The 22,212-nt window shown below is 61.6% G+C and overlaps 1 protein-coding gene and 1 long non-coding RNA gene across 12 annotated transcripts, besides 2 other annotated features; one reads left to right on the plus strand and one right to left on the minus strand.

The window, feature by feature from the left end:
- Positions 1–335: 335 nt before the first annotated feature.
- On the minus strand, positions 336–4,628 carry LOC105376789 (uncharacterized). Of its 8 annotated transcripts, none has more exons than XR_001753045.3 (5): positions 4,541–4,606; positions 2,677–3,874; positions 1,210–2,233; positions 843–898; positions 336–611 (listed from the first exon to the last, which is right to left on the minus strand). It is a non-coding gene; the product is annotated as an uncharacterized LOC105376789 (long non-coding RNA). The 8 variants fall into 8 exon arrangements; XR_001753048.3 differs by having other exon boundaries at positions 1,210–1,283; positions 2,002–3,874; XR_001753047.3 differs by having other exon boundaries at positions 1,210–1,595; positions 2,002–3,874.
- Positions 3,502–4,001: an enhancer, noted in NCBI's record as "H3K4me1 hESC enhancer chr17:79761495-79761994 (GRCh37/hg19 assembly coordinates)". NCBI's record gives its function as "activates a minimal SCP1, AML or CMV promoter by ChIP-STARR-seq in naive H9 embryonic stem cells {active_cell/tissue: H9 hESC(naive)}" and the evidence as "EXISTENCE:reporter gene assay evidence [ECO:0000049][PMID:30033119]".
- GCGR (glucagon receptor) lies at positions 4,033–13,891 on the plus strand. Of its 4 annotated transcripts, none has more exons than NM_000160.5 (14): positions 4,033–4,132; positions 8,725–8,961; positions 9,665–9,767; positions 10,708–10,815; positions 10,893–11,014; positions 11,105–11,211; positions 11,287–11,443; positions 11,534–11,693; positions 11,769–11,829; positions 12,066–12,135; positions 12,460–12,548; positions 12,690–12,828; positions 12,899–12,940; positions 13,357–13,891. In NM_000160.5, exons 2-14 carry the CDS (start codon positions 8,902–8,904, stop codon positions 13,570–13,572), a joined length of 1,434 nt encoding a protein of 477 aa, NP_000151.1. In that variant the 5' UTR covers positions 4,033–4,132; positions 8,725–8,901; the 3' UTR covers positions 13,573–13,891. The 4 variants fall into 4 exon arrangements, with proteins under 4 accessions (NP_000151.1, XP_016879935.1, XP_006722340.1 ...); XM_017024446.2 differs by having other exon boundaries at positions 9,671–9,767; XM_006722277.2 differs by lacking the exon at positions 4,033–4,132 and adding an exon at positions 5,033–5,116.
- Positions 21,676–21,970: an enhancer, noted in NCBI's record as "tiled region #4607; K562 Activating DNase matched - State 5:Enh, and HepG2 Activating DNase unmatched - State 5:Enh". NCBI's record gives its function as "activates a minimal TATA promoter and a strong SV40 promoter by Sharpr-MPRA in K562 cells, with weaker activation in HepG2 cells {active_cell/tissue: HepG2 | K562}" and the evidence as "EXISTENCE:reporter gene assay evidence [ECO:0000049][PMID:27701403]".

Raw genomic sequence — 22,212 nt, forward strand, 5'->3', positions numbered from 1 at the left:
AGCTCTGTTTCCTCCAGTTTCCTCTTTCCCAAGTGATTGGTCTGTCTCATATACCTAGAGGTCTTGCTTTGCATTCACATCTAAGGGCAAAAGGCGCTAGGATGCAGTGCGGAGGTCCATTCGCTTTGTCGTAAGGTTTGTGCCTTTCTTAGTCCTGCAGTGGTTGAGTAAAACCTGACCATCCCACACCCTCAAATACTAAGTGCCCCTGGGTAGTGATGTGGAGGGGCCTTCTTATTAATGTGAGGAAATGCTTGTGTTATAGGTTGTGGTGAGAAACGCTGGTTACAAAACTATATCAAAGTAAAAATGTATTAATGCACAGTAAAGACACCTGGAAAAAAAATGCCCTTTAATGCTCACAGAAGGTCTCTCCGAGGGGCAGCCCCACCACCCTCCTGTTTCCCTTCCTGCATTTCCACGTTTTTCTGGGCCCAGATGCAGCCTCCCCTCCCACCCCTGGTCCCTCCGCCTTGGCTTCCGGCTGTCGCTTTCATCCCTCCTCCTCATCAGCCCCTTGCAGAACTCCAGGGTGGGGCTTCTGAGTCTCGCTGGCAGTATGGGCTCCATAAGTCTTGCTGGACACCGAAATTAAGTTCTGCAGGTGCCGTCTCCAGAATCCCCAGCACAGATAGACAAACCCACATCTCAGGGGTGGGGGGTGCAGACCTGCCCCCAGCCCCGCTGCAGCCCGCCCCAGGACCAAGCACACCTCCAGGAGGGCCCCCTGCAATGAGTAGGACCCTGGGGACTGGATGGAGGGCAGGTCCCCCCACCCCCACTGCTGCTTGGGAAGGCCCTGCCCCCTCCATTCCCAGCTGCCCTCTGTTTATATGTCTCACCAATGTCAAGGGAAACCAGAACTGGATAGCAGTTGAAACACATATTTTGTTCGGGACTATTGTAATAGGGGAAAAAAGATTTTAGTATAGACCTGGGCTCAACTCTCAATGTGGCACAGGCAAGTGGGGATTTAGATCTGAGGAGCAGGGCGGGGTCAGTGGGTGGAAAATTACTGGCACGAAACACCTGTCTGGAGGATTCTGGCTAAACCCAGGAAACAGGAAGCTTGCTGAGGGCAGGCAGGGTTAGCAGACATCGCCTGGGGGTGGCGGAGGCTGAGAACCCTACCCAGGTAAAATGAAGCTTGCTGACGGCAGACAGGGTTAGCAGACACGGCCTGGAGGTGGCAGAGGCTAAGGAACCTACCCAGGTAAAACGAAGCTTGCTGACGGCAGACAGGGTTAGCAGACACGGCCTGGAGGTGGCAGAGGCTAAGGAACCTACCAAGGTAAAATGAAGCTTGCTGAAGGCAGCCAGGGTGAGCAGATATTGCCTGGGGGTGGCGGAAACTGAGGACCCTACCCAGGTAAAAGGAAGCCTGCTGAAGGCAGGCAGGGTGAGCAGACATTGCCTGTGGGTAGCAGAGGCTGAGGACTCTACCCAGGTAACAGGAATCTTGCTTAAGGCAGGCAAGGTGAGCAGACATCGCCTGGGGGTGGCGGAGGCTGAGGACTCTACCCAGATAACAGGAATCTTGCTGCGGGCAGCCAGGGTGAGCAGACGTCGCCTGGGGGTGGTGGAAGCTGAGGACCCTACCCAGGTAAAAGGAAGCTTGCTGAAGGCAGGCAAGGTAAGCAGACATCGCCTGGGGGTGGCGGAGGCTGAGGACCCTGATCAGATATGGGGGGATGGAGGCTTCTTGCCAAACTGACTTAGCAGAGTTCTTGCTGAATCTGGATTTTATAAGGCAGAATGCAGATGAGCCTGTGAGAAGGTTCTGAAGCCGGACTACAGTTTGGTCAAGCAAACAATCTTGTCATGGATTCAGTCATATAAATAAGGGTCACCCAGCCCAGGGGAGGTGCCCCACCCCATCTGTTCCCTCTCCCTCCCCACACTGAGTCCGAACCTTTCAGGCTTTGCCCCCTTCACACACTCCAAATTTATTCTTCTACTTCTCTTCCTGCAGGTACCAGACTCCGGCCACCCAGCGCTTACCTGGGACTGCTGGGCCTCTGCCCCGTGGGGACCTGTCCTCCAGGAAACAAGGCCAGACACAGGAGGGCAGGGAGGACTCTTCTCCAGGGCCGGTGCGCCGTCTCTTCAGCCCCATGGCACTTGACTTAGGCAGAGCCTACAGCACCCTCACCCCAGTCCCTGCAGCCACCAGGAGGTGGTCCCCCTCATCCCATTAGCCATCACCGCCATTCACAGAGGTCTCGGACTGAGGCTGGCAGGGGGAGCACCATGACCCAAGATCAGAACCCTGTTGTCTGTGCCTCTGGAGAGGTGGGGGCAGGAGCTGAGGGAGGGTTTGGGTGGAGAGGGGAGAAGATGCAGTAGCAGGAGCAGATGCTGGCAGGTAGAGACAAACTTTTATGACCTTTGCCTTCTGACCTTTGCCTCTGGCCACTGCTCCAACTAAAACAGAATGGCCCCCTCTGGGAACAGGGCTTCCTATGGGCTGGGAAGCATGGAGCCCCCACAGTGTGGCTATGCAGGGGAGTGAGGACCAGGTGGGGGCAGGCCTGTGGGGGTCACAGAGCTGGGCTAAGCTTCAGAGGGAAGTGGCCCCTGGGAGGGGGAATGGCTGGGGTTAAGACCCTGGGTTCCCACGCCCCCAAAACAGAAGTAGAATTAGGGAGAAAGGACCCCCAAGACCAAGGACGGCACCTATCAGAGGAGCTCTCCACGGGCAGGAGGTGTCCCAGGGTGAGGGTGGCCAGGACAGGTCTAGGGAAATGCAGGTGGAGCAGGACCCAGAGATGGATTGGAGATGCCGGAGGGGAGGCTTCCTAGCGGGAGCGGAGACAGGCACTGCAGACAAGTGTCAGCGGGAGGGGCTCTGGGTGGGGAAGAAGACTGGGACTTGGAGGAAGACCTCTCCAGGGAGAAGGGAGGAGGGGGAAGGAGAAGGGGAGGAAGTGGGAGGAGGAGAGTGCTCATCCTGGAAGCCACAGCCTCGGAGAGAACTTTCTAGAAGGAAGGCATGACCATCAGTGTCCCAGGATGCTGAGAGGCCAGGAAAGGTGAGGCCTCAAGGCGCCATGGGGTTGTGGTGACCCCAAGATCACTGGGCACAGAGCAGGGATGGCTGGGGGTGGAAGGGGAGGGGCGCGGGCTGAGGTTCTAGGGCCCCAAAGCCAGGTGTGATGTGGCTCTAGGGGGAGTGAGGAAGGGGAGAATGTCCCTCTGAGCGTGCCTCTTGGGGAAGGCAGGGGTTCTGGCTGGGGCTTCTCCACTCCCAGGAAAGGAGGTGGTGTGGAAGGAGCGGGTGGGACGGAGGAGAGAGCGCCCCGCGGCCGCAGGACCAGCAGGTGGGGGACCAGGGTCAGCGCTGCTGGAGGGGCCTTAGCGCGACAGGACTGGCCAGAGACCGGGGATGTGGCACAGAAAGAGTTAAAGGGCACCCCAGGGACCGCCCTGCCGGTCCACCCATGTCACCCATGTTGGCCCCTACTCCAGCCCCCGTCTGCTCTGCAGGGGAAGGAACCGGGAGCCGCGGTGGGGGCGACTGGGGGTGTCGGTCTTTCCAGAAAATCAGGCAGGCATCAGGAAAGAAGGGGCGAGAACCCGGGGACGCGAGAGGAAGGGGGCGAGGGGGCGCCCAGGGAGGCGGAGGGAGCGAGAGGAAGGGGGGCTGAGCCACGGCCCCCACGCCCGCGCGCCCCTCCGCGTCCCAGGGCGTCCCCTCCCGGAGCTGGGACCCACCGCGACCACCACCTGCTGGGCCAGGGTCCGCGGGCTCAGGGGTCTGCAGGATTAGGGTCTGCGGAACCAGGACCCGTGGGACAAAGGTCTGTGGGGCGCGGGTCCGCGGGGTGGAATTCAGCGCGCCGAGTCTGCGTATGGCCGGGGTACGAGGCGCTCCCTGCGCAGGGTGGGCAGGACCGAAGCTCGCCGGGAGGCTGCGCGGAGGGCGGGCGGGGACCCTCGGCTGCCGCTCCCACCCCCGCGGGGCCGCCCCCGAGCCCGCCCTCCGCCGCCGCCCTCGCCCTGCGTCGCCGCCGGAAAGTTTGCACCGACCCCGATCTGGCAGCGCCGCGAAGACGAGCGGTCACCGGCGCCCGACCCGAGCGCGCCCAGAGGACGGCGGGGAGCCAAGCCGACCCCCGAGCAGCGCCGCGCGGTGAGCACCTGGGCCGCGGCCCCGAGGGGACGTTGGGGAGTCGACCCGGTGGGGACAGAGACCGCGGGGCGGGCGCGGCGGGGCCGGGGGCGCGGGGAGCGGGGAGCCGGCCGGGCGGTCTCCGGGGTCCGGGCTGGTGCGCTCCTCAGTCCCGTCAGACACCCCCGTTCCCAACCCCGGCTCGGACACCACCCGGTCCTGCACCGTCGGGCAGGTCCAGGGGTCTCAGCCCCTCCCCCGTTCTCTGGTCCTGGGGGGCGCGGCTGGGGGCGGGGGTGTCGCTGGCCGCCTGGCGCCCTGCGGCGGCCACACTGCAGCGGCCACACTCCCCACTCAGGGCCCCGGGCCCCGCCGCCCTGGGGAGCGCACAAAGCGCCGCGGACGCGTCCCCGAGGCGCGGGGTCTCACCAGCGCTGTCTCCCCTCGGTGGGCTCCTGCCCCGAGGACTGCCCGGTGGCACCGGCGCGGCCCAGGATGGGGTGAGGGGTGTCTGCGCCCCGCCTGGCCGCTCCTCTTCCGCGGCCCACACTGGCGACTTTGACCCCGGCAAGCGGGTCACTGCCCTGCCCGGCTCCGGCCCCCCCGGCGCCCCACCACCCGGCCGACTCGGCCACCGGGCTTATGCTCCGACTCTGAACCGACTGACCCCGGCCCCCTCGGCGCCCGCATCCTCCAAGGACCGGCCAGGGCTGCTCTCTGCCCTTGGTATTGGGGACATCAGGGTTGGGGGGTCTGGGTGCACCCACGCCTGCCCCGCCCCCACGGGGTGAGGGCGCAGGGATAGGGCTTTGTCAACAGCCTGTGGCCCCTGATCCCGCCCCGGTGCCCTGACCTTCCACTACCTTCTCTGGTTTCACAAAAACATCCCGGCTCCCATCCCGGAGCTCCTCAAAGCGTCTGAGAGGCCCCTTGCGGACGCCCTGGGAGCCCCGCTGCCTTCCTGGACCAGTGGCCGCTCCACCCATCCTGGGGGCCCAGCTCCAGGTCTGCGGGTCCCTCAGCCGCCCCCAGTGGGAATCGGTGGAGCCTGACGCAGCCAGGAGCGCCCAAGAGTCACGTGTTCTGCCAGGGAGGACATGGGACAGGACACGGGGTGCCAGCCCTGCAAAGCGGCCGGGGCAGTGGAGCTCAGGTGGCCCTAAGCCCTGGTGGTGGCTGGTGTGGCCCGGCAGGCAGCTGTGGGAGGGAGGAAGGGGGTGGCATGCGGTGGGGGTCTAGAGAAGGCGGGCAGGGCACCTCGGGAGCCCCCCCATTGGGCACCTCGGGAACCCCCCACATTGGGCACCTCGGGAACCCTCCCATTGGGCACCTCGGGAACCCCCCACATTGGGCACCTCGGGAACCCCCGCATTGGGCACCTCGGGAACCCTCCCATTGGGCACCTCGGGAACCCCCCTATTGGGCACCTCGGGAACCCCCACATTGGGCACCTCGGGAACCCCCCCTATTGGGCACCTTGGGAACCCCTCCCCTAATTCTCAGCTGACTCCAAGGCCTGAGAAGGAGCTTGGTCACCTGGACTGTGAAGGTGGAGGGTGGGGTCCCTGGTGGGTCGTCCCACCTACCAGCTGTGTCGCCGGAAGGGTAATACGGAGCACTGTGGCCCCGGGGAGCCCCGAGTGGCAGCTCCACAGCTGGGAGTTTCTGTCCACTCCTTCAGTCAACAAACATTGATCCTGGGCTGACCGGGGCCCGGGGGTGTCAGTGTCTCCTCTCGGGGGAGAGGGCTGGGTGAGATCAACAGAGGAGCCTCCCTTCTTCCCTTCAGGCTGGTGTCACCTTCAGTGATGGGGCAGGGTCCCCACTTGGGAAGTTAAATCGTCGTCCCCGTCCCAGGACCACAGCAGCCTCAGCCCTGCTCTCCAGGCCAGGCTCTCTCATGGGTGCTCAGCTGGAAATTGGTCCCCCCCCGGCTCCACCCACCCCTGTTGGGGTGAGGAGCTGGAGTCTCCCTACCCATATGGGACCCACCACCCGCAGGGAACGGAGGACGCTCACACTTCTGCACCTCCTGCCTCACTATCAGAGACCCAGTGGAGAATTGCCTCCCACCTCACCTCTTGTATTCAGAGGCCCTGACCCCTAGGGATCCGGGACTAGGGGTGCCCTATGGGGAGCCCACCTGTGGCCTGTGGATGCTGAGCTGTCGGGGGAATCCTCCAGGATCCCCAGCCCCACCTTCCCAACCTTCTGTTGAGGCTGAGGGGACACAGAGCCCCACTCCTGGGTCCTGACTGTTTCAAAGAAAGGCCTGGGGGACTGGGCAGCCAACCCCTCCCTCGGCTCGCTGGGGTCTCCAGACTGGCTGCCCGGCTGGAAGGTGGGGCCCTGGCACGCGAGGACCTCATGTGTGGAGGCACTGGCTTGGGGGGTGCTCCCAGTGGCTCTAGAGTCAACATGACAGGCATCGAATGGCTCCTGTTTCTCTGGCAGAGTTGGGGCAGAGCCAGGCTTGGCCACGCTGGGCTCTAAGGGGCTGTCATTTTGCCCAGGGAGCTCCTGGCTGGGTGGTCCTCCCCCCAGGGTGAGCACGCGTCCCCCCCCACCCCCACTTCGAGGCGCCCAGGCAGGGAACAGCTCATTGGCCAGTGTCCTTCCTCCTTGTCCCCCGCCTGCATCTCCACCATCCACCCTGCTCCAGCTGCCCCTTGTCCCTCTCCCCGTCCCCTGCCCAGAGCCCCAGGTCTCCCCTGCACCCCTGAGCCTGCCCACCTAGCAGTGCCCCTCGTCCAGGGCCCCTCTGGGTTGGGGGTGCACACAGTGGGGAGAGGCGGCTCCTGCTGCTCCTCACCCAGCCCGGCTCAGTGGCCGGAGCCGCCCAGGACAGTGGCAGTAGATGGGGCTGTTTGATCAGGATCAGGGAAGATAAGGCCCCTTGCGTGACCCCAGAGCTGGGGACGCCAAAACTGCCCCTCCTCCCCCACCCGCCTGCCGCTGTCTCCGCCAGGGAGAGGCCCCTACTCTGTGGGTCCTTCGCCCCAGCACCAAGCCTGCATGGCTGCTCACCTGGCTCAGGAACTGGGGATCAGCGACACACGGGTCCTGCCTCCCATCGGCCCCTACATGAGCCCAGGGTCCAAGGGCTGCGGTTGGGAGCTCTTTAGCAGTCTGTGACGCAGGTGCCTGTCCCTGTCATTCAGCTGTCACACTGCTTGGGGCATCTCAGGCCCCGTTAGCGGGGCAGCCCTGGGTGGAGCTGGCCCCACGCGGGCTCACCCAGCCGCTACCTGGAGGAGGCTAAAATCCAGGCTGTCCCGTGGCAGCCAGCAGTCCAGGCCTGCCCGGAAACCCTCTGCTCCAGCTGCAGCCTTCGCCCATCTCCTTGCCCCTCTCCCCGGCTTCCCCCTGGCACTGCCTTCCAGCTGGCTGGCCCTCCATCTGCCCAGCCATCCATCCACACCTCTTATTCCATTTGAGGGTGCCCCAAAGAAGAGCCCGTAACAGCCCGGGGGCTCATAGCCAGCCACTCGCGGGACCCCGCACATGCACGTGGACCCACAGGAAGACCCTCCCTGCTTCTCCCACAGAATTCAGTTGGTGCAGAAACTGGGCTCTGTAGCAACGAAAGGCCGATTTGTGTAGCTGTTGCCACCCCGAACTCCCAGCTCAGATGCTGGCTGTGGCATGGGGACCAGGGGCTGTGACTCCCACAGCCCTGGCAGGCACCACGGGGGATGTCCTCCCCACCCTGTGCCCCCACCCTAGGCCAGCTCCTCCTCCAAGTCGACGCCCGCAGTGCTAACCTCAAAGGACTGTGCAGCCAGCCTGTGGCGTCCCATGGGATCCAGGAAGCCCAACCGAGCCTTGCACGGCACCCACGAGGCACCTAGGCACCCCGGTGCTGGGCAGGGGGCACACATGTGACACAGACCCCTGAGTGTGGGCCCCACACACTTGGCCTGGCACAGCTGCAAGCCAGCCCAGCCACTTTGCTCGCTGTGGCACTGGGGCCAAGTGATGGAAGGTCCAGGCACCGCCACCCTCACGCTTGGCACATTGGCTCAGGTCAGCCTGGCAAGCCAGCTTTCCCAGGGGCTAAGAATAGGTGAGGAGGATGGTGAGGAAGCAGCCGGGGGCTGTCAACTGAGGGAGGAGGTCACCATCTGGGGAGGCTGGTCCCCCACCCAAGAGCATTGGGTCAACCTGCAGGAAGGTGGCTGCCACCAGCAATGAGACGAGGGGCTCTGCGACCCTCAGAGCTGCCAGCCAGCCAGCCCTGGGTGGCAAGAGTGACTCCTCCTGGGGTCTCCTCCCTCCTATCGCCCTCTTTTTTTTTTTTTTTTTTTTTGAGACGGAGTCTCGCTCTGTCACCCAGGCTGGACTGCAATGGCTTGATCTCCGCTCACTGCAAGCTCTGCCTCCCGGGTTCACGCCATTCTCCTGCCTCAAGCTCCCGAGTAGCTGGGACTACAGACGCCCGCCACCACGCCTGGCTAATTTTTTGTATTTTTAGTAGAGACGGGGTTTCACTGTGTTAGCCAGGATGGTCTCGATCTCCAGACCTCGTGATCCACCCCCCTCGGCCTCCCAAAGTTCTGGGATTACAGGCGTGAGCCGCCGCGCCCGGCCCCCAGCTCCCTCTTTATCCCTAGGACCCTGAGGCTCAGAGGGGCAGCTTCAGGGGAGGACACCCCACTGGCCAGGACGCCCCAGGCTCTGCTGCTCTGCCACTCAGCTGCCCTCGGAGGAGCGTACACACCCACCAGGACTGCATTGCCCCAGCTGTGCAGCCCCTGCCAGATGTGGGAGGCAGCTAGCTGCCCAGAGGCATGCCCCCCTGCCAGCCACAGCGACCCCTGCTGCTGTTGCTGCTGCTGCTGGCCTGCCAGGTGAGGACTCACAGCACCCTCAGCACCCAGGGGCCCTCCTGTGAGGACTGCACACTGATGGCTCTCTGTCTGCCTGCCTGCCTGCCTGCCTGTCTGCCTGCCTGTCTGTCTGTCTGCCCGTCTGCCTGCCCATCTGCCTGTCTGTCTGCCTGTCCGTCTGTCTGTCCATCTGTCCATCTGCCTATCCATCTGCCTGCCTGTCTGCCTGTCCGTCTGCCTGTCTGTCTGCCTGTCCATCTGTCCATCTGCCTATCCATCTGCCTGCCTGTCTGTCGGCCTGCCTGCCTGCCTGTCTGTCTGCTGCCTGTCTGTCCGTCTGCCTGTCTGCCTGTCCGTCTGCCTGCCTGTCCGTCTGCCTGTCCGTCTGCCTGCCTGCCTGTCTGTCTGCCTGCCTGTCTGCCTGCCTGTCCGTCTGCCTGTCCGTCTGCCTGCCTGTCTGCCTGCCTGTCTGCCTGTCTGCCCGTCTGCCTGTCTGTCTGCCTGTCCGTCTGCCTGTCTGTCCGTCTGTCCATCTGCCTATCCATCTGCCTGCCTATCTGTCTGTCCGTCTGCCTGCCTGTCTGTCTGCCTGTCTGCCTGTCTGTCTGCCTGTCTGTCCATCTGCCTATCCATCTACCTGCCTGCCTGTCTGCCTGTCTGTCTGCCTGTCTGTCTGCCTGCCTGTCTGTCTGTCTGTCTGGTTGCTTGTGCATGTGTCCCCCAGCCACAGGTCCCCTCCGCTCAGGTGATGGACTTCCTGTTTGAGAAGTGGAAGCTCTACGGTGACCAGTGTCACCACAACCTGAGCCTGCTGCCCCCTCCCACGGGTGAGCCCCCCACCCAGAGCCTTTCAGCCTGTGCCTGGCCTCAGCACTTCCTGAGTTCTCTTCATGGGAAGGTTCCTGGGTGCTTATGCAGCCTTTGAGGACCCCGCCAAGGGGCCCTGTCATTCCTCAGGCCCCCACCACCGTGGGCAGGTGAGGTAACGAGGTAACTGAGCCACAGAGCTGGGGACTTGCCTCAGGCCGCAGAGCCAGGAAATAACAGAACGGTGGCATTGCCCCAGAACCGGCTGCTGCTGCTGCCCCCAGGCCCAGATGGGTAATACCACCTACAGCCCCGTGGAGTTTTCAGTGGGCAGACAGTGCCAGGGCGTGGAAGCTGGGACCCAGGGGCCTGGGAGGGCTCGGGTGGAGAGTGTATATCATGGCCTGGACACTTGGGGTGCAGGGAGAGGATAGGGCTGGAGGACTCACCCGGGAGGCAGTGCCTGGGTTCGGATGAGGGAGGCAGCCACCACTGGGCAGAGGGGGGCAGGTGTGGCAGCCTCCATTGGGCAGAGGGAGCAGATGTGGCAGCCACAGGTTTGGCGATGCACCTGGGAAGGATGAAAATGGCATTGGGGTTCAGCCCCCAGAGAGGGAGGTGCTGAGAGAAGGTCACGGAGAATGGGGGACCCCAGTGTGGGTTTGGGGCACATTTGAGATGGGGGGTCTCCAAGGGAAGGTGTCCTGCAGAGCTGCAATTCAGGGCTGGGCTGGGCGTGCTAGCGGAGGCTGGTCCAGGGGAGGTGGATGGTCAGGTGAGGAAGGTGGAGGTCAGATGGGGGAGGTGGAGGTCAAGTGGGGGAGGGAGCAGCCCAGGCCATGTCCTGGGCGAGGTGACGGCCGAGCTCAGGCTTCCAGAGAGAGGAGAGAGGCCTGCTGAGGGAGCCCCTTCTCCCACCCTGCCCTGCCCTGCTCTGCCCTGCCCTACCCTACCCTGCAGAGCTGGTGTGCAACAGAACCTTCGACAAGTATTCCTGCTGGCCGGACACCCCCGCCAATACCACGGCCAACATCTCCTGCCCCTGGTACCTGCCTTGGCACCACAAAGGTACCCATAGAGGGGAGGAACTGTGGGGGGGGCGGGCCCAGGGTGGGGCTGACCCCAGCCTCCCCCCACACCCCCAGTGCAACACCGCTTCGTGTTCAAGAGATGCGGGCCCGACGGTCAGTGGGTGCGTGGACCCCGGGGGCAGCCTTGGCGTGATGCCTCCCAGTGCCAGATGGATGGCGAGGAGATTGAGGTCCAGGTCAGTGGGCGGCAGGCAGGCGCGGTGGGGCTGGATGGGAACGGGCATGGGGGCCCCTGCCTGGCCCTCACAGGCCACTGTAACTCGCAGAAGGAGGTGGCCAAGATGTACAGCAGCTTCCAGGTGATGTACACAGTGGGCTACAGCCTGTCCCTGGGGGCCCTGCTCCTCGCCTTGGCCATCCTGGGGGGCCTCAGGTAGGATTCCGCCAGCGCCCGGGGCGGCCGCAGAGGACAGGGAGGAGGACGGGCGCTGACTGGCTGTGCCCACAGCAAGCTGCACTGCACCCGCAATGCCATCCACGCGAATCTGTTTGCGTCCTTCGTGCTGAAAGCCAGCTCCGTGCTGGTCATTGATGGGCTGCTCAGGACCCGCTACAGCCAGAAAATTGGCGACGACCTCAGTGTCAGCACCTGGCTCAGTGATGGAGTGAGCCCCCCTCGGCGGCCCCAGGCAGGTGGGTGGGTGGGCAGCCAGGCAGGTGGCCACGTAGCCGCGCTCACACTGCACCTGTACCAGGCGGTGGCTGGCTGCCGTGTGGCCGCGGTGTTCATGCAATATGGCATCGTGGCCAACTACTGCTGGCTGCTGGTGGAGGGCCTGTACCTGCACAACCTGCTGGGCCTGGCCACCCTCCCCGAGAGGAGCTTCTTCAGCCTCTACCTGGGCATCGGCTGGGGTGAGTGGGCTGGCATGAGAGGGGGTTAAGGCAGGCTGACCAAGCCTTTGGGACCACAGCTGCTGCCCCCCACAGGTGCCCCCATGCTGTTCGTCGTCCCCTGGGCAGTGGTCAAGTGTCTGTTCGAGAACGTCCAGTGAGTATGAGCGGCTGGACAGCCTGGGGAGGGACCGGGGGGCTGGGGTGCGGCGCTCTGGCCTGAGGCAGGGAGGGGCCGGGGATGAGCCTGGTGCCTGGGGAGGGGGTCATTTGTGACCTTCTCCCTTCCTTTTCTGAGACCCGAATTAGATCCTGGCAAAATCGGGACGGGGGTGCTGAGGGGCGGAGGGGCTGGGGGCTGTGCCCCAGTATGTGAGTGGCCTGGCCTCGCAGGTGCTGGACCAGCAATGACAACATGGGCTTCTGGTGGATCCTGCGGTTCCCCGTCTTCCTGGCCATCCTGGTGAGGAAATGAAGAGCCAGGAGCGCACCCCAGGCCCCTCCTCCCTTGGCGTCCTGAGGCTGCCCCAGGAGACAGCAGCATCCTGTCTGAGAGCGCTGGGAGGGAGCCGGCACCCAGACAGGACACCAGGACACTGGCCAGCACCCTGGACACTGAGCCAGGCTGTTCCTCCCTGGCTGTGTGCCCACCAGCCCCAGGGCTATGTGGCCCAGGGCCTATCTTGCTGCCAGGCCCACCTGCAGGAGGGTCAGGTGGGGCCTTCCAAGGGCACAGAGCTGTTCCCTGGGGCTCGGGATGCCCCTGACTCGCACCCTTCTCACACAGATCAACTTCTTCATCTTCGTCCGCATCGTTCAGCTGCTCGTGGCCAAGCTGCGGGCACGGCAGATGCACCACACAGACTACAAGTTCCGGTGGGTGCCGCGGCAGCTGGCGTCTCGAGACCTGGAGACCCTCAGGGCCAGAGGGCAGCTGGGGGTGGGGACTCCAAGCTCCACGTGGATGGTGCGGGCCGAGGGTGGGGGCGGTGGGTGACTCAGGCGCTGCCTCTGCAGGCTGGCCAAGTCCACGCTGACCCTCATCCCTCTGCTGGGCGTCCACGAAGTGGTCTTCGCCTTCGTGACGGACGAGCACGCCCAGGGCACCCTGCGCTCCGCCAAGCTCTTCTTCGACCTCTTCCTCAGCTCCTTCCAGGTGCCCGCCCGCCCGCCGGCTCCCCCGCCCGGGGCGCAGTGTGCCACCCCTGACCACCCTGTCTCTCCAGGGCCTGCTGGTGGCTGTCCTCTACTGCTTCCTCAACAAGGAGGTAGGTGGGAGTGGGGGCATCTGAGACCATCAGCACTGGCCGTCGGGGTCAGGGGCAGAGAGAGGCACAGGGATGCCAGCCCCACCCCTGCCCGGGGGTTGGAACACGTGGGGCCCAAGCCTTTCCCTCCCCCTGCTCTTATTGGGTGCAGTTGCCATGGCGCTGGGTGTCAGGCCCCCAGGACAGGTTGGCCTCAGCCCCATCGCTACGGTGTCCACCGTGGGGGTCCCCAGGTGTCTGCAGACTGCTTTCCGTGGCGATGCTGGGTGGCATAGCTGTGCCCAGCAGGGAGCTTGTGTCGCTCTGCACCCCTCAGAGCGGAGACTGGGCATCTCCGATGAGGCCCACAGCAGGTCCCGGTGGGGTGGAGAGGACAGGCAGGCCCTAGGACTGGCCTGCCCCGTCCCCCTCCCCAGGTGCAGTCGGAGCTGCGGCGGCGTTGGCACCGCTGGCGCCTGGGCAAAGTGCTATGGGAGGAGCGGAACACCAGCAACCACAGGGCCTCATCTTCGCCCGGCCACGGCCCTCCCAGCAAGGAGCTGCAGTTTGGGAGGGGTGGTGGCAGCCAGGATTCATCTGCGGAGACCCCCTTGGCTGGTGGCCTCCCTAGATTGGCTGAGAGCCCCTTCTGAACCCTGCTGGGACCCCAGCTAGGGCTGGACTCTGGCACCCAGAGGGCGTCGCTGGACAACCCAGAACTGGACGCCCAGCTGAGGCTGGGGGCGGGGGAGCCAACAGCAGCCCCCACCTACCCCCCACCCCCAGTGTGGCTGTCTGCGAGATTGGGCCTCCTCTCCCTGCACCTGCCTTGTCCCTGGTGCAGAGGTGAGCAGAGGAGTCCAGGGCGGGAGTGGGGGCTGTGCCGTGAACTGCGTGCCAGTGTCCCCACGTATGTCGGCACGTCCCATGTGCATGGAAATGTCCTCCAACAATAAAGAGCTCAAGTGGTCACCGTGCATGTCCTGGAAAGCAGGGCTGGAAATGCTGGGGCCGAAGCAGTGGGGGATGGAACAGCGGTGGGTGGTCAGCGCCAGTGCGGGCTGTTGAAGGGTCCCCCTGCTGTCCCAGTTCACTCAGAGTTGGCACTGGAACCCCGGAGGATCCCGAAGGCAGCCAGCCTGTGCCCATCTGAGCAGGTCCTGGCCACCTTCCCATCCTGGTTCTGGCGGGCAGTCCCCCTGGACGCTTTGGCCACCAGAGGGTCACCATTCACCAGCAGAGACGTGAGGGGCACAGTGGCTAAGGCGGCATGAGGCATCACAGTCCCCTGACCGACCCCATCAGCACTGGATTCACCCGAGGGCGTCTTCTCCCTGGAGGCCGTGAGGACACTGGCACCTGGCTCATCGGCCCGCCCTTCCTCTGAGCCTCCTGGCCTCCGTTTCATCTCAGCTCCAGCCCCCTCGGGCAATTTACAGGCCACGTAGCAGATTGAAGCGGGAAGAAATGGGCCTGAACATTGCCGCGGGTCCAGGCGACGGAGGAGGGCAGGTTGCCCAACTTCTGCACAGGACCCGGGGTGCGCCACACACACGCCAGTCCTCGTGCCACACAGAGAGGTCCGGCCTACGCCAGTCCTCGTGCCACACAGAGAGGTCCGGCCTACGCCAGTCCTCGTGCCACACAGAGAGGTCCGGCCTACGCCAGTCCTCGTGCCACACAGAGAGGTCCGGCCTACGCCAGTCCTCGTGCCACACAGAGAGGTCCGGCCTACGCCAGTCCTCGTGCCACACAGAGAGGTCCGGCCTACGCCAGTCCTCGTGCCACACAGAGAGGTCCAGCCTACGCCAGTCCTCTTGCCACCTCGTGGTGGGTGGGCGCCCTGCTTGCCAGCCAGGGAGCACCAGGAAAGAGCTGCCTCCTGCGTGCTGGACACAGGAGGTGCTTCAGGGTGGGGTCTCCCATTGTGTGGGGCCCAACCTGAGTCTAAGGGCCCAGGGACCACACAGCGGGGGTGGAGACAAATTCAGGGTAGAAGCTGTGAGGGGCCTGTGGTCAGCCCCCCGGGGGGTCCCTGCAGCAGGCACTGTGAGACCTACTGAGGTGTGTGCATGGGCTGGGGAAGGAGCCAGTCAGGTGCCCCTGCTCTGAGGAGCTGCTGGGAAGTGCTGCTGGGCCCTGGGGGAAGGGGTGCTCACAGCCCCTGCCTGGGCCACGTGGGCTGGAGCCGCTCAGGCAGAGCCGGACTAATTGGGGCAAATGAGGGGACAGGAGGCCTCTGAGGAAAGGTAAATAGAATTACTCACCCGCCAGGCACTGGGGCCCTCCTGGGGGGGCCCTCACCCTGCCACCCACCACAGGGCCTGCATGCAGCAGGGAGGGAAGTGAGCTGATTAGGCAAGGCTGGACCCTTCTGGGGCCCTGGGGTTGCTGTGATTGGGACGGCAAGGCCAGGAGACGGTCCCCTGAGCTGCACCTGCTGGAGGCCTGTGATCTCAGACCTTAAGGCTTCAGGCCAGCTCTACGCCCCTCCGGCCTCAGGTCCTGGCTCTCCTCTGAGCCCTGGATGCCCGGGTGCCTGTGTGGGCACGAGGCTGCTCCGAGTCAGCACACGGAGGTGGACATTCTCCTTCATGCCAGCTGAGCTCAGGGCTGGTGACTGCCCTGGGGAAACTGCCCCTCACCTGGGACCTCCTGACAGCCCTCCCCATTCCCGAGTCCCTCTGCCCTTGTCCTCTTTCACCTCTGTCCCGCCCTCATCCCTAAGGGAACTGGAGCAGGCTGGTGGAGTTGGGTGGAGTTGGGGACTGGCAGGGGGTGGACTCACCCAGGCAATAAACACTGGCCCTAACCAGGCAGTCCTGCAGGCAGGTAGGTGGAGGGACTGTTTTTTTTCTTTTTTGGAGATAGAGTCTCACTCTGTTGCCCAAGTTGGAGTGCAGTGGCATGATCTTGGCTCACTGCAAACTCCACCTCCCAGGTTCATGTGATTCTCTGCCTCAGCCTCCTGAGTAGCTGGGATTATAGGCGTGTGCCACGACACCTGGCTAATTTTTTTTTTTTTTTTTTTGAGACGGAGTTTCACTCTCGTTGCCCAGGCTGGAGCTCAATGGCGCGATCTCAGCTCACCGCAACCTCCGCCTCCCAGGTTCAAGCGATTCTCCTGCCTTAGCCTCCCTAGTAGCTGGGATTACAGGCAGGTATGTGATGCCCGGCATCCCAAAGGGGTATCTGCAAGAGTTGGGTGCTGTGTGTGCATGGCTGGGAGGAAGATGACTTTGATACCCTGGAATCTGGTGTCTGTGGACACAAAAATACTACTAAAATGAGAGTGGAGACCAGGAAAAAGGAAGACATGAACTACATGAAGGACCAAATCTAGGAGAGTCAGAAGTGCGTCACAGGAATAGGGGACCTTGAGCCAGACAGAAGGCTCAGCAGAGACACCCTCAAGGGGATGAAAGGGATTGAGTGCACTAATATTTAGAGGAGAGAGTTCAGGACTTGATTAGTGACTAGTACATAGAAAACTAAACAAATGAGGCTGGGTGCAGTGGCTCATGCCTGTAATCCCAGCACTTTGGGGGGCCAAGGCGGGCGAATCACCTGAGGTCAGGAGTTCGAGACCAGCCTGGCCAACATGGTGAAACCTCGTCTCTACTAAAAATACAAAAATTAGCCGGGCGTGGTGGCGGGCGCCTGTAGTCCCAGCTACTTGGGAGCCTGAGGCAGGAGAATCGCTTGAACCTGGGAGGCGGAGGCTGCTGTGAGCCAAGATGGTGCCATTGCACTCCACCCTGGGTGACAGAGCAAGACTCCGTCTCAAAAAAAAAAAAAAAGAAAGAAAAAACCAAGCAAATGAAAAAAGAAGGCAATTAATAATTCCAAAGAAAAGAAAAATTTGGGCAGAAAAGAACAAAACAAGCAGAATTTACCATGACTCAGTTCTGAATACAAACACAGACATCATAATGTAAACACCAACACTGATGCAACCAGAATCATGGGAGAAAAAAGATCTAGGGAGGGTGGTGGACGGGAATATCACGTATGTACTGGGGGTAGGGGAGAGAACAAAATGGGAAAAATCAAGAATAATTCACGTTAGAAATAAAAATACAGAGCAAAATTTAAAAATGCAAAGAATGAGGTGAAGAGTTCAAAGTGGTCACCTCGGGGCCGGGCGCGGTGGCTCACGCCTGTGATCCCAGCACTTTGGGAGGCTGAGGCGGGCGGATCACAAGGCCAGGAGTTTGAGACCATCCTGGCTAACAAGGAGAAACCCCATCTCTACTAAAAATTAGCCAGGCGTGGTGGTGGGCGCCTGTAGTCCCAGCTACTCGGGAGGCTGAGGCAGGAGAATGGCGTGAACCCAGGAGGCGCAGCTTGCAGTGAGCCGAGATCGCGCCACTGCACTCCAGCTTGGGCAACAGAGTGAGACTCCGCCTCAAACAAAACAAAACAAAACAAAAAAACAAAGTGGTCATCTCTAGGCAAGGTGGGTGGGAGATGGCTAGGGCTGCAGGTCCACTACGTGAGCTGGCTCAGCCTATCCCCAGACACCCTGCACTCACTCAGCCCGGGGTCCTCCCCCTGCACTCACTCAGCCCCGGGTCCTCCCCTGCACTCACTCAGCCCCGGGTCCTCCCCCTGCACTCACTCAGCCCCGGGTCCTCCCCTGCCTGCTCTTTCTCTGACCCTGCCCTCCACTGTTCCTTTTTCTTCTTTCTCTCCCTGTTGTGTCCAGGAACCAGGCACCACCCTCATTTCTTCTTGATCAATCTTTAAAAACCAGCAGTGCTCAGCTAACTCTTCATCTATCTCCCCCGACCTGGGGCTCTGCTGAATCCACGCTTTAGACCCAGCTATCAGCTCGGCATGTACAGCTGGATGTCCACACCGAGCTGCTCACCCTGTCCCCAGCTTCTTCCTCCCACTGTCCACTGCAGAAGCCTCCTAACAGGACCCCTGCTGCTACCCCGGACCCTGCAACCCATTCCCACACAGCAGCCAGATGCTTTGACACCCGAAGTCTCCTATGAATCCGATGAGGCCTCTGCACCACACCTCATTTTACAGAAGTACAGGGGAAACAGGGGTCTGTTGACACCACAGAGATGCAGCTGGCCAAAGGCAGAATGTGGGGTACACGACTGTCAAACGCCAGGGGTCCTTACACGAATGGTGGAAAAAGAGGGGCATGTTACGGATGGAGGCTCGGGACACATGGGCGCCGCCTTCCCATGCTGCCAGCAACCCACCAGGAACCTATTAATTTAGTCATTTGGGAAATGGGAGCTGGGTATATCGGCTATTAGGAAATTGTTCATGCTCAATAAGTATTAATTACAATTTTCATAAGAGCTTAACCCCCCTGAAAGAGGTCACTGTTTCCTCACTTGTAAATTGGGATACTAAAACCTGCCCCATGGAGTTGCCAGAGTGACATGTGTGCGTGCACACCAACAGTACACAGCAGATAGTGACATATGTGTGCACGCCAACACTACACAGCAGATAGTGACTTGTGCGTGCGCGCCAACACTACACAGCAGATAGTGACACGTGCGTGCACACCAACAGTACCCAGCAGATAGTGACATATGCGTGCACGCCAACACTACACAGCAGATAGTGACTTGTGCGTGCACGCCAACACTACACAGCAGATAGTGACATGTGCGTGCACGCCAACACTACACAGCAGATAGTGACTTGTGTGTGCACGCCACTACACAGCATAGTGACTTGTGTGTGCACGCCAACACTACACGGCAGATAGTGACTTGTGTGTGCACGCCAACACTACACGGCAGATAGTGACTTGTGTGTGCACGCCAACACTACACGGCAGATAGTGACTTGTGTGTGCACGCCAACACTACACGGCAGATAGTGACTTGTGTGTGCACGCCAACACTACACGGCAGATAGTGACTTGTGTGTGCACGCCAACACTACACGGCAGATAGTGACTTGTGTGTGCACGCCAACACTACACGGCAGATAGTGACTTGTGTGTGCACGCCAACACTACACGGCAGATAGTGACTTGTGTGTGCACGCCAACACTACACGGCAGATAGTGACTTGTGTGTGCACGCCAACACTACACGGCAGATAGTGACTTGTGTGTGCACGCCAACAGTACACAGCAGATAGTGACATATGTGTGCACGCCAACACTACACAGCAGATAGTGATGTGTGTGCACACCAACACTACACAGCAGATAGTGACATGCGCGTGCACGCCAACACTACACAGCAGGTAGTGACATGTGTGTGCACACCAACAGTACACAGCAGATAGTGACATGCGCGTGCACACCAACACTACACAGCAGATAGTGATGTGTGTGCACACCAACAGTACACAGCAGATTGTGATGTGTGTATGCACACCAACGGTACAACACGCAACAGTTGCAGTTGCCTCATTTCCCCAAGTCGCCCTCACTGCAGAAAGGGGAGTGTCTCCAGCTGCTTAGTCCAGCAGCCTCCAGGATTGGGTGAGGGTCGGAGGGCCCTGGTGCCCTGCATGGACAAGGCAGTGGCAGCAGGGCTGAAGGACAGGCTGGGGTGGGAGGACCGCAACCCTCTGGGATCGGGCCCCACGGTCAGCTCCCGCAGCCCAGGGGAGAGGTGCCCACTCTAGCAGCCCTTTATGTGCTCCTCAAGCTGAAAGTAGAGACCCCGCTTTGTGACTACAGTGAGTTCTCACACCATTAGGCGAACGGCTGGGGTAAGACCACCCTGTGGCCCCTGCAGAGCTGACCTCACTGGGTGGTCCACCGAAGAGGGGATGGGAGGGCAAGTTTGCTTCAGGGTCAGAGGTCCGGTCCCGGTGGGTGCACCTCCCCAGCCCTCAGGTAGGTTAGGCCCCCTCTCCCGCGTCCCCTCCCCCTCCTCACCCCAATCCCCTCCCCCTCCTCACCCCAATCCCCATCCCCCACGCGGTGCATCGGGTGAAGGGGTGGGGCCTCCAGCAACACCGTGGGCTCAGCGCTCCCCACAGACTCCTACCCTCCTGCCCAGCATGTGCCTGGCCAGGCCGGCCCCCTCCTCTGAAGGGTTCTTGGCAGAAAGATCTCCAAATTGAAGGTTTCTGGTGGCAGGCCCAGGTGCTGGGGCCATACCTGGGGGAGCTCCACCCCCCGGCTGTAGGTAGGCAAGGCCCGGATTCCAGGGCCCAGTGTAAGATGACCCAGGTGAGCCCAAATCAGGTCCATCTCTTAACACAAGGAGCTCCCTCGGCACCTCCTGTGTGCTACACAGGGGTCCCAGCACCCATGCAGGGGAGAGGCCTTTGGATCACCACAGCCCACACTCTGTACAGAGGGATAAACTACTGCTTTGCCTGTAGAGTAGCCATTCTTTTATTTATTTTTTTCTTTTTCTTTTTTTTTTTTTTTTTTTTGAGACGGAGTCTTGCTCTGTTGCCCAGGACGGAGTGCAGTGGCGCAATCTCAGCTCACTGCAACCTCCGCCTCCCGGGTTCAAGTGATTCTCCTGCCTCAGCTTCCCGAGTAGCTGGGATTATAGGTGCCTGCCACCACACCCAGCTAATTTTTATGTTTTTAGTAGAGACGGGGTTTCACCGTGTTAGCCAGGATAGTCTCAATCTCCTGACCTTGTGATCCACCCGCCTCAGCCTCCCAAAGCGATGGAATCACAGGCGTGAACCACCGCACCCGGCTCTAACTTTTCTATTTTTAGTAGAAATGGGGTTTCACCATATTGGCCAGGTTGGTCTCAAACTCCTGACCTTGTGATCCGCCCGCCTCAGCCTCCCAAAGTGCTGGAATTACAGGCGTGAACCACCGCACCTGGCCCCTTTTCTTTAATAAATTTGCTTAAAAAAAAAAAAGAACCCAAAGGCTGGGCACGGTGGCTTACGCCTGTAATCCCAGCACTTTGGGAGGCCGAGGAGGGTGGATCACAAGGTCAGGAGAATGGCTAACACGGTGAAACCCTGTCTCTACTAAAAATACAAAAAGTCAGCCGGGCATGGTGGCGCTCGCCTGTAGTCTCAGCTACTCGGGAGGTTGAGGCAGGAGAATCGCTTGAACCCAGGAGGTGGAGGTTGCAGTAAGCCAAGCTCACACCATTGCACTCCAGCCTGGGTGACAGAGCAAGACTCCGTCTCAAAAACAAACAAACAAACAAACAAAAACACCAAAAACCAGAAAACCCAGAGGGGTAAATTGAGGCAGGCTGGCCGTGTGCCAGGCCCCAGACTGCAGAGCCCAGACTCCCCACCGAAGGCTGAGGGTCGCGCTTGCTGTGTGAGGCTCAGCACCTTGTCAAGTGCACCCACACGGTGACTCGTGGGGGTAGCAGCACCAAGCACTGCGCCACCCATGATGTAGTCATCACCACCTGAAGAAACCAAGGCTGACTCCAACCTGCTCACAGCCACGGTGTAGCAATGGCCTGGCCAGGGCTCAAGCCCACCCCTCCTCCTCCTGGGAATCTGGGAACCCCATGTTTGAGTGGGCCCCCCACTGCAGGACCTCTGCTGGCCCTTGCAGCTACCACTGTACAGAAGGTGCACAGGGCAGGGCCTTGTCCCCAAGAGGCTCGGTGAGTGGAAGGCACATGGCATGAGGACCGCTGTGAGCCGCCCGCCCCTCATCCCCGTGGTGGTGTTCCCCAGGCTGCATCGGCTCAACAGGGGGAGGCAGCCTGGGTCACCCTAGCCTGGTGGGCACTCGAAACGCTCCTCGAAGGACTCACAGGCCCCATGGGGGCCAGGTAAGGCCGTGTGTTTACAGGGAGTTGGCTCGGGGCTGGGTACTGCTGTGCACACTGGCTGCCAGGCGGCAGCTGGGCTGGTTTATTACTGGAACACCCTCCCCTGCTCCTCCTCCCCGGGGAGGCCAGCCCTGCGCCAGCATCTCCTGCACCAGCCCACCCACCAGGAGGCGCCTGTGGGGCCACTCTTCTGGGAAAGCGTGTTCCTGGAATAAATTCTGGTTTCGCTTCCAACAGGAACAGGAATAGAGCTCCCTGTCTGGCCTGCCAGGGCAGCTTGCAGGTTTGAAGGTCAAGTGCACGTGGCTCTCTCCTGGGCCCAGCGGCACCCCCTTCTTCTGGACAGGGGAGGAGCCAGCTCCTAGAGGGGCCACAGTGCCCCAGAGGGTGGGTTCAGGGTGGTGCCTACTACCTCTGCGGCCCCCTGGGCAGCCCCTGTGGCAGAACAAGGGTAGTGATATCAGGCAGCCCAGCCTCTCCCTCCAGAATGCCCTCCCTGCCACCACCTGCCCTAGGAGACCTGAGCACGCCCAGTGGCTTAGACTGAGAATTTCTGGGCTTGAGAAGCCTTCGCCA

The sequence above is a fragment of the Homo sapiens genome, chromosome 17, assembly GCF_000001405.40.
Source record: "Homo sapiens chromosome 17, GRCh38.p14 Primary Assembly".
NCBI lineage: Eukaryota > Metazoa > Chordata > Mammalia > Primates > Hominidae > Homo > Homo sapiens.

Bases quoted from the DNA above. Each gene is read 5' to 3' on its own strand.
- GCGR (NM_000160.5), top strand. From the start codon at position 8,902: ATGCCCCCCTGCCAGCCACAGCGACCCCTGCTGCTGTTGCTGCTGCTG. The intron at 9,768-10,707 runs GTGAGCCCCCCA...CCTACCCTGCAG, and splicing joins CCTGCTGCCCCCTCCCACGG to AGCTGGTGTGCAACAGAACC. The intron at 10,816-10,892 runs GTACCCATAGAG...CCACACCCCCAG, and splicing joins CCTGCCTTGGCACCACAAAG to TGCAACACCGCTTCGTGTTC.